Source organism: Homo sapiens, chromosome 17 (assembly GCF_000001405.40).
Source record: "Homo sapiens chromosome 17, GRCh38.p14 Primary Assembly".
NCBI lineage: Eukaryota > Metazoa > Chordata > Mammalia > Primates > Hominidae > Homo > Homo sapiens.
Window position 1 is genome coordinate 63417777 of NC_000017.11, and position 14265 is coordinate 63432041.

At 48.5% G+C, this 14265-nt stretch overlaps 1 protein-coding gene across 21 annotated transcripts in view, besides 1 other annotated feature; it reads left to right on the forward strand.

The window, feature by feature from the left end:
* TANC2 (tetratricopeptide repeat, ankyrin repeat and coiled-coil containing 2) overlaps nucleotides 1–9927 on the forward strand; it is a 461469-nt gene extending 451542 nt beyond the window's left edge. For 10 of the 21 annotated variants that reach the window (XM_011524597.3, XM_011524598.3, XM_011524600.3 and 7 more), the window contains 2 exons: nucleotides 531–631; nucleotides 2220–9927. In XM_011524597.3, coding sequence (XP_011522899.1) covers nucleotides 531–631; nucleotides 2220–4179 — 2061 coding nt within the window. In that variant the 3' untranslated portion in view covers nucleotides 4180–9927. The remainder of the gene's footprint in view (nucleotides 1–530; nucleotides 632–2219) is intronic. The other 11 variants (NM_001394998.1, XM_006721807.4, XM_047435731.1 and 8 more) reach the window with 2 other exon arrangements.
* Nucleotides 7936–8674: an enhancer, noted in NCBI's record as "H3K4me1 hESC enhancer chr17:61503073-61503811 (GRCh37/hg19 assembly coordinates)". NCBI's record gives its function as "activates a minimal SCP1, AML or CMV promoter by ChIP-STARR-seq in naive H9 embryonic stem cells {active_cell/tissue: H9 hESC(naive)}" and the evidence as "EXISTENCE:reporter gene assay evidence [ECO:0000049][PMID:30033119]".
* Nucleotides 9928–14265: the final 4338 nt, after the last annotated feature.

Sequence of the window (14265 nt, forward strand, 5' to 3'; positions counted from 1 at the left end):
TCTGTCTGACACCCCCTCTCCCTCTAGTCTCTGTAGTCAGTGCAGTTTCCTTTACAGACGTCATCCTCCCGGACTTTACAGGACACCTTCTCACCTGTCCCTTAGAAAGCCACAGTGTAGTGCATGTAGCAGGAAGGTGTGGGGCTCAGACCAGGGTCCACGTGAAATGTGGACATGTGTGCGTTTGCCTCCTACATGCATGGATAACTTCAGGAGCTTCACTGGAAAGGGTTGGTGTTTGGCTTCCGGGCTGAGAACTTTATTAGAAAGGCAAAAAGAGGGAAAATTAAAACTATTTTAATATTCTGGGCAGATAAAGTCCAGTGAGCAGTCGCAGCGCTACACAGGACAAAGGCAGAAGGAACTTTCAGTCCACAGGCCACGCGGCTTGAGCCATGTCAGGCACGTCTAGCGTCCCAGGCGTTCCATCCATGAATGTCAAAAAATGTACAAATAATTTGTTTTATTCCCAAGTTGTCTATTTTTTATATCTCATCAATGACTCATTTGCACACCTATTGTAATGACAGGATTTTGGAATGGCGGAGGAATTTGCTACTAAGGCCCTGGAGCTGAAACCGAAATCTTATGAAGCTTACTATGCGAGAGCAAGGGCAAAACGCAGCAGCAGGTGAGGAGAGAGAGAGAGGGTGAAAGCAAGAGGTCTCTTTTCTGAAAATTTGGCCAAGGCAGCGTCGGCCACCCTGGGGCATATGTACCCAAATACATCTCTGTCCTTGAGAACTGTCAGGGCCAAGCTTTGGGGATGGCTCCCATAGCACAGCCCTCAGCTCAAGATCAGCAAATCTGCTGGGCTGTGGAGGCCACGAATGTTTCACTTCGGGAGAAAAACACTTTTTCACTGGAGAATGGCAGCTTCTTCCAAGAAGCCTCTGCCGTATCTCAGGCATTTTTCAACCCCCAGAGCAGCTAGCACAAAGAGACAACGGCGACTTAAAGAAATCACTTAAGCAGAGCACCCCACCCCCGCTTTAGAGGGAAAGTAGGATGGTTCACTTAACATCACAGGTTCCTCTTCCTTCTCCCATAGGCGTTTGAGGAATCCCGGATTAGTTAGTCTTCCCTCTGGGGCTCTCCTCAAGTCTGGTGGCATCAGACCCCCTTCCACCTAAACCATCACCCACCACACACACACAGAGTCAAGAGGTCCTTGCTGCCAGGATGGAGAGGACCCTCTAAGAGAACACCATTCCACATTCCTTGTGCCCATCTGCTTTAGTTTGGCCACTGGGCAGAAAAGCTCCCAGAATAACCTAGAACCTGCCATCAGTGATCTTTGTGTAACTTGTCACTGTCTCTTATGCCTCCTGCCCTCCTCCTCCCCAGCTGCATGGGAAAGAACTGCTTCAGGTTCACTGCTATGGCCAGGGGCACATGGTCCCGAAAATCACACCCAGCTTGAGGCTAGTGATGGTGGTGGCAGTGATCGCACTCTTACCTAGCTGGGGCAACGAAGTCCTCACAGAAATCTGACTGAAATTCTCCTTCCCTCTGGGTAGTTCCTTTTTCACAAGGTCAGTTGCCCCTGTCAGGTGATATTAGTAGAGAAGATGGGAATGTCTCTGACAGTTCATTTCTTCATTTGTAAATTAGAGTCTCCTTGGAGTCAGCTCAGCTCCAGCCCCGAGTGACCTAGTCAGCAAGCCTAATGCCTGCCCCACTTTGATAGAGCAAATGGAGACACAGCAATTCTGAGAGATGAGGGTTAGAAAGGGCAGAGGACAGGGTTCTTGCCTAGAGTAGAACAGGCCTGAAATTTGGAGCTAAAATATTGAGAATATAAAGAAAAATTTCTGCTGGATCAGCAAGATTTTTAAATATGTAGTTTTTTTTGTTCCTAAGCTACTTGACAGTGACCCTGTAAATGACAACCCCACCCAACTCTCATACTGCCTGGTGTGTGTTTGGGCACCAAAACAACTTCCCGAAGGGCCTGGCTGGACTGACAAAATGGGGCATTTCTCCACTATTCCCAGAGAGGCCAGAAGGAAGATGGAGGCCGAATGGGTTAGGGAATCATTCGGACTCTTCCAGAATGAGTCTTCCTGTTTCCTTCCCTATAAATCCAACTAAACCGAAATACCCCAGACTCCCACAGACGCCACCACAGCTCTCTGAGATAGTGACCATGTTCTCAGCTCTTGGTGATTTCTCTGGATTCAGAATAACTCCAGTTCCTGTGTTCACATTTTGTCAAGCAGACAGTTCGCAGCAGCCTTAGAGGACCTGAACGAGGCCATCAAGCTGTGTCCCAACAACCGTGAGATCCAGAGACTTCTGCTGAGAGTGGAAGAAGAGTGTAGACAGATGCAGCAGCCACAGCAGCCACCGCCGCCACCGCAGCCTCAGCAGCAGTTGCCGGAAGAAGCAGAACCTGAGCCACAGCATGAAGACATATACTCTGTACAGGATATATTCGAGGAGGAGTACCTGGAACAGGATGTTGAAAATGTTTCCATTGGCCTCCAGACAGAGGCCCGGCCCAGCCAGGGGCTCCCGGTCATCCAGAGCCCACCCTCCTCTCCCCCGCATCGGGACTCAGCCTACATCTCCAGCTCACCTCTTGGCTCTCATCAGGTTTTTGACTTCCGGTCCAGTAGTTCTGTAGGCTCTCCCACTAGACAGACCTATCAGTCCACCTCACCTGCCCTTTCTCCAACTCATCAGAACTCACATTACAGGCCTAGCCCACCACACACTTCCCCGGCTCATCAGGGAGGATCTTACCGTTTCAGCCCCCCTCCTGTGGGAGGACAGGGCAAAGAATACCCAAGCCCTCCCCCTTCCCCTCTCCGGAGAGGCCCTCAGTATCGGGCCAGCCCTCCAGCTGAAAGTATGAGTGTCTATAGATCCCAGTCTGGTTCACCCGTGCGCTATCAGCAGGAAACAAGCGTCAGTCAGCTTCCTGGCAGACCCAAATCTCCATTATCCAAAATGGCCCAGCGGCCCTACCAGATGCCTCAGCTCCCTGTGGCAGTTCCCCAGCAAGGGCTCAGGCTACAGCCTGCCAAGGCCCAGATTGTGAGAAGTAACCAGCCCAGCCCAGCCGTCCATTCAAGCACCGTCATCCCCACAGGAGCCTATGGCCAAGTAGCCCATTCAATGGCCAGTAAATACCAGTCTTCACAAGGAGACATAGGAGTCAGCCAGAGCCGGTTGGTTTATCAAGGGTCAATTGGGGGAATCGTAGGGGATGGAAGGCCGGTGCAGCATGTCCAAGCCAGCCTGAGTGCAGGCGCCATCTGTCAGCATGGAGGATTGACCAAAGAGGATCTTCCACAGCGACCTTCCTCAGCATACCGAGGTGGCGTGAGATACAGCCAGACACCACAGATCGGACGCAGCCAGTCAGCATCCTATTACCCAGTCTGTCACTCAAAACTAGATCTGGAGCGCTCCTCCAGCCAACTAGGTTCCCCTGATGTGTCGCATTTAATCAGAAGACCTATCAGTGTCAACCCTAACGAAATCAAACCGCACCCGCCAACTCCCAGGCCGTTGCTGCATTCCCAAAGTGTAGGCCTTCGCTTCTCTCCATCTAGCAATAGTATCTCCTCCACCTCCAACCTAACTCCGACCTTCCGGCCATCTTCTTCCATCCAGCAAATGGAGATCCCACTGAAACCTGCATATGAGAGGTCATGTGACGAGCTGTCGCCAGTGTCTCCAACTCAAGGAGGTTACCCCAGTGAGCCCACCCGATCCAGGACCACACCATTCATGGGGATCATAGATAAAACAGCACGGACTCAGCAGTACCCCCACCTCCACCAGCAGAATCGGACCTGGGCAGTGTCATCTGTGGACACCGTCCTCAGTCCCACGTCTCCAGGCAACCTGCCTCAGCCTGAGTCCTTCAGTCCACCATCATCCATCAGCAACATTGCCTTTTATAACAAAACCAACAATGCACAGAATGGCCATTTGCTGGAGGACGATTATTACAGCCCCCATGGGATGCTGGCTAACGGGTCTCGTGGAGACCTCTTGGAGCGAGTCAGCCAGGCCTCCTCCTATCCCGACGTGAAGGTAGCTCGGACTCTACCTGTGGCTCAGGCATACCAGGACAACCTGTACAGGCAGCTGTCCCGAGACTCTCGGCAAGGGCAGACATCCCCTATCAAACCAAAGAGACCGTTCGTGGAGTCTAATGTTTAAAAGACGTTTTGTTGGAGTGAGACCCATATGTTTTCACTGCACATTTTCAGGCTTGGTTTCCACATTCGAGGTAGTTCTCTGGCTTAATTTCTCATGTAGTTTCTGTGTGGTGTTCAGAGGTGGCAGCCCACATGCTGAAATCCTTTGCATGCAGCCGACTGGGAAGCGGCCTCCCGGGAGCCAGGACTTCAGTTTCTCTTGTCTGTGCCCAGCCACATGCTCTCTCCCTCTCTTCAGATGCCAACGAGGAGATTTTCGTGCTGTGTGCTTTAACCCAGGGAGATCAGACACACTGGTCAGCTTTTTCCAGGAGACAATCGCTTTCACTGATGTTCTTGTTGTGTAATTGTCTTTTTCCTTTTTTAAAAAATAAGGTGTTCTTGTTCGTTTTCTTCTAGAAACTTTAGAAAGAGTGCGATGCCCCTTTGCCTTTGCATCCTTAGCCAGTGTCACCCACACAGCCAGCCGCAGCGCATTCTCATGCTGTGGCCCCTCCCCAGACCGCCAGCGCCCTGCAGCCACCAGGTCTGCAGTGTGCATTAGGATTATTGCTGGTCTTCCTAGGGGGTAAAAGGATCAGAGAGAGAAGAATTAAGTGCTAAATTGGAAGAAAACCCCAATATAATTATGTAAAATGTCACTACATTGATTTTCCAAGAGGCATTGTAGGAACATGTCAAAAACAGCCAGCCCTTTAAATATTGCAGTCAGCCAAGGAAATTAGATGAGAATTGTGGCTATTAAGAGAATTCACTGAGAGTTATTCTCTAGATTTTTAGCCGACAATTAACCACTAAAAGCTGCTGCTTTTCCAGGGTGGGGGAGGGAATGAATACATAGAAAAACAAAAAAGATTGTTCTGGATTCTCAGTGAAAGGCTATAGGAAGTCTGTTCTGGAGACATCTACTTTTTAGATCCTGATACATCACTGAGTGTCATACTCCACTAAAAGGAAACTCTAACCGAAGGCTGGCTGGTGTGACAATCCCGTTAGTTGGATCTTCACCTACAGCCAGATTTTGTTCTAGTGGCCCTCTTCCTGTAAACCCAGATGGTGTCATACAGAAATTGTTTCTTTCAGAAGCAGATTGGAATCTCTTGGGACCATGAGACTGAGTCCCAATATTTCCACCCAGGGTCATGCCCGTTGTTGTCTACTTCCATTTTGAGATCTATAGTTTGATTATCTATTATTACAGGAACTGTTTCTTTTCTTTTTCTAGGAGTGTTTATGAGAGTGTGATATTTTAAAGTCAGACGCAGCAAAAACTGTTTCAGGGTGAAGAAAGACCCCTTTCAGCCCTGTTTTGCAGCCCTGGGTGGGGGCATGAGATAGACAGCAAGCTTCTGATCTTGAAGCTTGTCTAGAAGACACATCTTCTAGGTCTCGTGGTCATTTGGTAGGCTGACCTTTGAGTGAGCGAGGCCACTATTGAGTGGATAGCAAGAACATTGGAACCAAAGCCTCGGCACAGGCCTGGCACTGGCTGTACATCAGCTCTTACAACTAAACAACTCAACTAAGCAACTGAAACGAAACAAAGGAGCATTCGTTCTCTGTTGTTAGGAATCATTCTGCTCTGTTAGGGAAGGGCTGCAGGAAGGGCAGTTTCCTGAATAAAAATCTGGCTGCGACCAGTCCCATGTGTCTGGTAAGTAAGTAAGTAAGTAAGTGCCCTTTGAAGGGATCATTAAGACACAGGGAGCATGAACCTGAGATCAGAAGCATTTCTTTACTAATTTAGATTCTGCGAAATAGACGGACCTCTCCACCCCCAAACCTAAAACAGGCCAGGACTTGTCTCTGTGCTGAAAGCAAATAGCAAGACTAACTCAAGCCCCAGCCTCTTTCCACACTCCCTGATACCTAAGGACTGCTTTCTCAGCTAGACCAGGGTGGGCATCAGCGACGCCTTCTCAGCTAGACCAGGGTAGGCATCAGCGTCCTCTCTCCATCTCTATACCCCTCTCTCTCACATCAGGAAGATGAAATGTGTAGCTCTAGCGGCAACCTCTAGCCAGGAGCCCAGTGGCCTCTCAGATTGCTTTTTGGCCAGGTCTCAGCACTGCTGGCATCTTTACATCTTACTCCTTAAAACCGCCTCTCGCTGAGGAGCCACTGCATTTTGAAGAATTTCTCAGTGTCTGTCAGGAAAGTGCTCCTGCTCATTTGGAACGCCACACACCACCCGCACTCACCTGTCCAGGCGAATGAGCAGGTCCTGTAGCTTTACAAATATGCCGCTGATGCCGCTTCTCCCCAGGGTCTCTCAGTTTTCCAGGACAAAAAGATTTAGGGCCTATACCCTATGGGCAAAACACCTAAAATGTCAACAGTCAAAATGCCATTCTTTTTGGCCATCATAAGAGGGAGTAGGTATCACTGCTGCATGCCAGTTGTTTTTGACTAGAATATGCCAACCAGAGCTTGTTGGGGCAGGAGACGTTTTTCCTTACAAGCAGACTGCCTGTGCCCTGTGCCCTGTTTGCTACTTCACTGCCATGGAATGATCCGAGTACTGTATTTCAGAGCTGCCCCTTCCCCAGCAGCAAACACTCGCTGAGTCCATGTCTGGCTTCAGGTGGGAGGAAATGTTTCAGATGAAACTTACTCAATTCATACCACCCTGAAATGGAGGACAGAGGTGACAAACTTCAGTTTAATAGGTTTCTCACCAAGTTGTATGTTCCATTGGCCCAGGATTCTTGCACTAATGGGTTTCTATCACATCATGTCTATAAATGGGTGCACTTTACTGTTTGAATTTGTAACTGAAGTACTGGATATTTAAGTGTGAGTAATGTCTTCATTAGAAAATAGCAGAACCGCTCTTGTCTTTTAGTGTATTTTTCAAGAAAAAAGGAAAGGAAAGACATCAAGCAGTGGATCACAACATTTATAGCACAAGAAATAACTTGTATATAAGCATCAAAAAGATTAAGAATTTTTTAATATGAAAAATATTTGCAGTGATTTTAAAGTGCTTTTCCAGCAATGTTCTTAGGGACTCCTGAGACACGGTTACTTTATCTACTGGATCAGTAAGGCACACAATTAACAATTAACAATTAATGTTTATTTACAAAGTAAAGGGAAAACCTGTGTAACATGAGAATTTGGCATGACAAAATGGAGACCATTTTGTATCTGCTGTTGTATCTTGTCCGGGTTGCAGACGTGCACTATTAAAGTCCCAAGTTAATAGAGCACAAACCCTTCTCGCTCCTCCCCCATGTGCCCCTCTTTTTAGATGTGTATAACTTAAACTCGATGGCTCAGGAAAATTCCACTAATTAGAATCATGTACAGTACCCCAGGTCGTTGTCCAGATATACAAGTTTGCTAATGTAGTTAAGCCTGGATTATTAAACACTTTTCCTAAATTATTGTAAACAGAACAGCTTAGAGAAAGGTATTCTCAGTCCTTAATATTGTATAGTAGTTTATGAGCCCCTCTCTAAATATTGGTATTTTTATATTCCAGAGATGTACCCAATAGAAAAAATTAAAAATTAATCAGTATCTAATTTAATATCCATAAGTATTTTTCCTTAGATTTTAGTCACGTACAGTGGGCTATGTGGATGTCACTTGTGCTTCACCATAGTTTACCACTAGGTGTCACTGTGGCTCTGCACTGCGCTTGTTTTGTAGCAAAGAACAGCGGCATCCCCTCGGGAGAGAGGAGCTGCTTCCAGGGCAACAGGCAAGCGGGCTCAGAGGTTCAGGAGAAGGCAACAGAGGCCTGGAAGGGGTCTTCGTGCATCTGTGCCAGTTGTGCAAGACGAACTCTTTGAACACTACATGCTTTGGACTTCAGCCAGGCAGAGGCTGGAAGAAGGTTGACCAGAGCTCCCTTGCTCTGGTAGAGGGATGGGTACATGGAGAAGCCCCTTCTTCCCCATGAGCCTCCCTCCTGTCAGTTCCTCTCAGCCTCCAGCTTTTATAACTCCAGAAGCGTCACAGTTGGGTGGTTTGATTCAGAGAGAGTTATTTTTCTACTGCAGAAATGCCTTGGACAAAACCAGTGCTCACTGAATCTTTGCCACAAAATGGAATAGGCTATCCCAGGGGGCAAGAGGTGCCCGCCCCTGTGCCCAGCCTCCTCTTGATGCTCCCAGTGCCCAGCAGCCTCGCACACCCTGCCTGTCTGTTCCTGGGCTGCCCATTTCTCAAGAAACCGACCTGCAAAGGCAGCCGGCTGCTGCCTCCACACCGAGGGCTGTGCGGTCCTGCTGCTCGCTCACTGGGAGGTGCAGCTCTTTCTCCTCTTCCTCTAGGAATTCCAGACCGACCATCTACCATGACTAACAACAATGAACAAAGGGCTTAGGGGCAAGAGCTACCTGCAAAGACGTGTCATGGAACCCTTCACCATGCAATGCCTTGAACTCAGCTCTGGCTGCTCCCAAGAAAAGGTGGCTGGCTGGGGGCCTGGACACAAGCACAATGGGGCTGGTGGAGCCACTGTGCAGAGCTACTTGAATAATCACTGGGTTTTCATCAACTCCTTTTGTCATACAGACCACTCAAGGGCTGAAGTGTTGGTAACCTTCATTTCGGTGTCCAAAGCCTCACAGCAGGTGAGCCACCCTGAGATGCTTGTGGCCACATGGTGGCCACAGTCAGAGCTTTGAAAGTCAGTACCAAATGAACGCATAATTGGACACCAAAAATCAAGTGTTACTTTCATGTTTCCTCACCCCATCATCTCATTGCCTCCTGCTGACTCTGATACCGACGCTGAGCTGACTTGCCAGGCTGCCGCTGGACGCGTAGAGATCAGGCCAGCGCCGCGCTCATTTTTCCAGGTAGACCTACTCTGTGGAACGGAAGTGCCCTAGCTGCTTTGTTTTTGTAGCACTTGCTGGCTGAATTTTTCTTTTGCTAATCGCTAACCAGAAAGTCTGGTTAGAGGGGGCTCAACTCAATCCCTTTGGTCCCCAGCGCCAGACAAGAGTTAATTCTGGAAAATTCAGTACTTGAATGTACCTGCCTTATTGCATACCAATTTACTGGGGGGAAAAAAAAAGTTAAGAGATGCCGGCTCCAGATCTCCACTTCATTCACAGGTGATTTTGGAAATCCTGTAAGTTACACTTCCTGTTCTGGTTTTGTTTTGTTTTTTGTTTCCTTTGGCTGATTCCTGCTGAGTGAGGCCAGTTCCTCATCAGGCTCAGGGCAGGTGCCTTTTCAGGCGTGGCCTCCTTTCCATCTAGCACAGCATCTTTGTCTCTGTTCTGTCTCCTCCAAATCCAAGATGATTTTAATTAGTACAGACATGTACAGTCTACAATTAAAGAGTGATTTGTACTAATATGATTTTGATTCTTCCTCCTCTTTGCTGTCCTTTCAAGACACTTGCTGGAAAAAGCTTTAATGCACTTAGTTTTCCTTTAGGTTTTCTATGACTCAGATGTAAAGGACTTTCTCTGTACAGTATATTATCCAATGCATGTTTGTTCTCTCTCCTGATATATTGAACACCACACAGTTGTGAAGCCGTGCAGTGGGGATGCCCCACACCCCACAGAGGCATCTACCCCTGTGTATAAGGAAAGACATTTTCCTTTGCTGTACTTGCTTGAGCAGTTTTATTGTCTGTACATGTGAGCTGTGTGAGATAGATGTGAAAAGTTCAAATGAATGCATTTTCCTGCCCCATGTATACAGATTGTCATCTGTACAAGGAACTGTATGTATGAAAGCAAATGTACTTATTTATAAATGGCTAACACTTGGAAAACCATGGTGTTGTGATGCTTTTCTCCTTCCATTACAGCCTCTTCAGGGAGCTGGCTTTTAAGCTTACCCTCCTGAGGATGCAGTGATGGGGGCACCCTCCCTCAGGAGGAATTGGGCAGGTTAGGGCTAAGGCCAAATTCCCGATGATTTGCTTGGTCTCTTGTGGGACATTCAGAGCCACCCCTTTGTGCATTTATTTGCTCGGTCACGTTATTGAGCACCTCCTCTCCTCAGAGTTGGACACTGTGGTAGGCCCTCAAGAGAGCTGTGGACAAGAGACGCCGTTCTAAGGAGCTGTCAGCACAGGCCTGTGACATTTGTTGAGAAAGGGGGGCTTTTTCTTCATTGGAAGAGGTTTCTCTCTAGCTATACCCAGGGAGCACTGAGCTCTTGTTTCATTTTGTAGCTGAAGCTGCACCCAATCCAGCCACCCTACCAAAGCCAAGGCTGAGGTGGGCTGCCAGCTTGAGTGGCTGTGTTTAGAGGCTGCATGCTGAGAGGGTAGCGAGCAGAGGGCACAGCTCCCACTGCAGACCTAAGGGCTTCGTCACAACTGGAGGCCCACTGCTTCCAGGGGCTTTGTCTTTTCATCAGAAATCTGGTCGAACTCCAGTCCTCACCATATAGAGAGCTAGGCAGCTGCATTGTGAATGGAAAAGTGGCAGGTTTCCTGCAACTGGCTGGAGACTCAATACCATCTAAAAGGGAGTGGGGAAGCGGGGGAGCAGCACTGAGCCTGCAGCCTTTCCTGTTTAACTGCTACCTCTGTGTTTACTTCAGGGACAAGCGAGGAGGGAGACCACTTCCTCTTGACATCAGATTTGTGCTAAACAAACATTCCTGCTGTGCATACCTGCATTTCCCAAAGCCTAGGGAAGCAGACAAACTGCAGGCAACACACAGCCCAGCCTAGATGCCACAGTTGCCTTCAAAGAGAAGAGGGGACTCTGGCAGCAGCCACCTGCTCAATCTCAAAACCATTCCTGGGCTGCTCCAGTTATTTCATTAAAAAATGGGTAAGTCGGGGCCGGGCACGGTGGCTCACGCCTGTAATCCCAGCACTTTGGGAGGCTGAGGCGGGCGGATCACGAGGTCAGGAGATCGAGACCATCCTGGCTAACACGGTGAAACCCCGTCTGTACTAAACAAAATACAAAAAATTAGCCAGGCGTGGTGGCAGTCACCTGTAGTCCCAGCTACTCGGGAGGCTGAGGCAAGAGAATGGCATGAACCCAGGAGGCAGAGCTTGCAGTGAGCCGAGATCGTGCCACTGTACTCCAGCCTGGGTGACACAGCGAGGGTCCATCTCAAAAAAAAAAAAAAAGTCATTGGCAAAACCCCAGCTTTTTAATTTATATTTTTTCTTTCTTTTTTTTTTTTTTTTTTTTTTTTTTTTGAGACAGAGTCTGTCACCCAGGCTAGAGTGCAATGGCGTGAGCCCGGCTCACTGCAACCTCCTCCTCCCAGGTTCAAACAATTTTCCTGCCTCAGCCTCCCTAGTAGCTGGAATTACAGGCACCCGCCACCATGCCCAGCTAATTTTTGTATTTTTAGTAGAGACAGGGTTTCGCCATGTTGCCAAGGCTGGTCTCAAACTCCTGACCTCAAGTGATCCACCTACCTCAGCCTCCCAAAGTGCTGGAATTACAGGCATAAGCCACTGTGCCCGACCTAGATGTTTTGTTTTGTTTTTAGATGGAGTCTCACTCTGTCACCCAGGCTGGAGTGCAGTGGTGTGATCATAGCTCACTGCAGCCTCAACCTCCTGAGCTCAAGTGACCCACCCACCTCAGCCTCCCAAGTACCTGGGACCACAGTGCATGCCACCACGCCCTGCTAACTTTTGTTTTGTTTTGCAGAGATGGAGTCTTGTTATGTTGCCCAGGCTGGTCTTGAACTCCTGGCCTCAAGCTGTCCTCCCGCCTTGGCCTCTCAAAGTGCTGGGATTACAGGCATGAGCCACCACACCTGGCCAAACCCCCAGCTTTTTAAGAAGTCCTGGGACATTGGAGGAAAGGAAAAGGAGTGATTCATTTAAAATATTAATACTTCTTAAAAAGAATTTACCCTCAACCTTAATAAAAAGCTACTCAGAGTAGAAGCAAACAGCAAACTCAGCAGAAGTCTGTGTAGATCCTCCGAAGCACTAAGTAAGTCAGACTTTCTTCCCCTGGATATCTGCTCATGGGTACCTTTTGGTAACTGCAGGCAGACACAGTACGCACGTGCACATGGTGGCCAAACTCCCCTGCGGTCGGCTGGGAATGGGTAGGCGAACCAGCGGGGAATGGAGTCACCCTCTTTCAGCTTTAAAAACAAGTTGGAGGAGCTTGGAGTCTTGGCAGCTGAGTTATTCCATTCTCAGGAATAAGATGGGGCACTGATAACAGGTATCATGTCTGGAAGGCCCTGTGATGAAGAGAGGGCCCACATAGAAGAGAAGGTGCTCAGAGTCCATTCTAACAGGCCATCCTCTTGGGAGGTCCATTGTGTCCCAGACACTGTGATAGGGACTTCACATGTGTTCCCTAATGTATTCCTCACACCTCGACAGACGACACTGCTGTCTCCAAAACAAATGCAGAAGCAGATCCTGAGAGCTGAAGTTGCTCAGGGTCACAGAGGCACAGGTAGGCCTCTGAATCAGCCACACTGACAGCTCTTCCCTCCACCACGCTGCCTCCTCTCTCAGAAGGGATGGTCTGAAAAGAGCAAGCAACCCGAATGGCGCCCCACGGAGTGCAGGCGCTGGGTCCAGGAGGATGGCTTGGGAAATGCCGCGTGCTTGTTTGGAGAAATAACTCTATGCCACAGTCAAGAGGAGTCGCTTTGGGACCCCAGTAAGAAAATGAGGTCCCTGCTATTATCCAGCCAGAGATTCGTAGAGGAAGAGGTGAAGTGGCTGGCTGGAGAGGGAGGCATCATCCCTTGGTGACTGGGATCACTTCAATATTCACAGAGACCCATAAGATTCAGAGGCTGGTGCAAAAAAAAAAAAAAAAAAAAAAAAAACAGAAATGAGATGCTGACTGAGGAACCAGTTTGTGACATGTATCAAGCCTTGTGCTTTGAATGCTTTTCAGTAAATAAAGGTCCACACTCAGCTGGGCGTGGTGGCTCACACCTGTAATCCCAGCACTTTGGGAGGCCAAGGCGGGTGGATCACCTGAGGTAGGGAGTTCAAGACCAGCCTGACCAACATGGAGAAACCCCATCATCTCTACTAAAAATACAAAATTAGCTGAGTGTGGTGGCGCATGCCTGTAATCCCAGCTACTCAGGAGGCTGAGGCAGGAGAATCGCTTGAACCCAGGAGGCGGAGGTTGCAGTGAGCTGAGATTGCGCCATTGCACTCCAGCCTGGGCAACAAGAGCGAAACTCCGTCTCAAAAAAATAAAATAAAAATAAAGGTCCACATGGAAGCCTTGATTCAGGAGGGACTCTACAGGTGCCCTAAGGAAAGACCTCTCCGTTCTGGCTCCTACACGTTAGAGACCAGCTACAATGCAGAAGACAAAGTTGAGACCAACGCGGGGAAGCAGGGACTCCTGTTACCTTATTAGAGGATTTGCTGTTGGGTCCCTTTAAATAGTGAGCTCTGGTGAGTTTTTAAATTGCTTTAAGTAAGTCAGAGGTCCCCAGCCCCAGGGCCACAGACCAGTATGGGTCTGTGGCTGTTAGAACCTGGCTGCACAGTAGGAGGTGAGCAGCAGCGGGTGAGCATGACCACCTGAGCTCCGCCTCCTGTCAGATCAGCTGCAGCATTAGATTCTCATAGGAGTGCAGACCCTATTAATTATGAACTACGCATGCGAGGGATCTAGGTTGCATGCTCCTTAGGAGAATCGAATGATCTGTCACTGTCTCCCATCACCCCCAGATGAGACTGTCTAGTTTCAGGAAAACAAGCTCAGGGCTCCCATTGATTCTACATTATGGTAAGTTGTATAATTATTTCATTATATGTTACAATGTAATAATATAAAAATGCATAATAAATGTAACGTGCTTGAATCATCCCAAAACTATCCCCCACCCCCAGCCCTGGTCTGTGGAAAAATTGTCTTCCACAAAACCTGTTCCTGCTGCCAAAAAGGTTGGCGGCCACTGCTTTAAGTGACAAGGCACAAAGCGCACAGTACGATCCCACCCAAATTTGCCAAAAACTCACCTTCTGCCTGAGCCACGTACGTGGATCTAAAGTGGAATCTCAGCTCGTTCCAAAAGCTTTGCTCCTCTTCTTAAGGATCAAAAAGACTGATTTCAAAGGGAAAGGGGTCCATTAAACACTGGGGGACCTTCCTTGCCAAGGCTCTTATCAGGCTCTTGCAGCTCCACC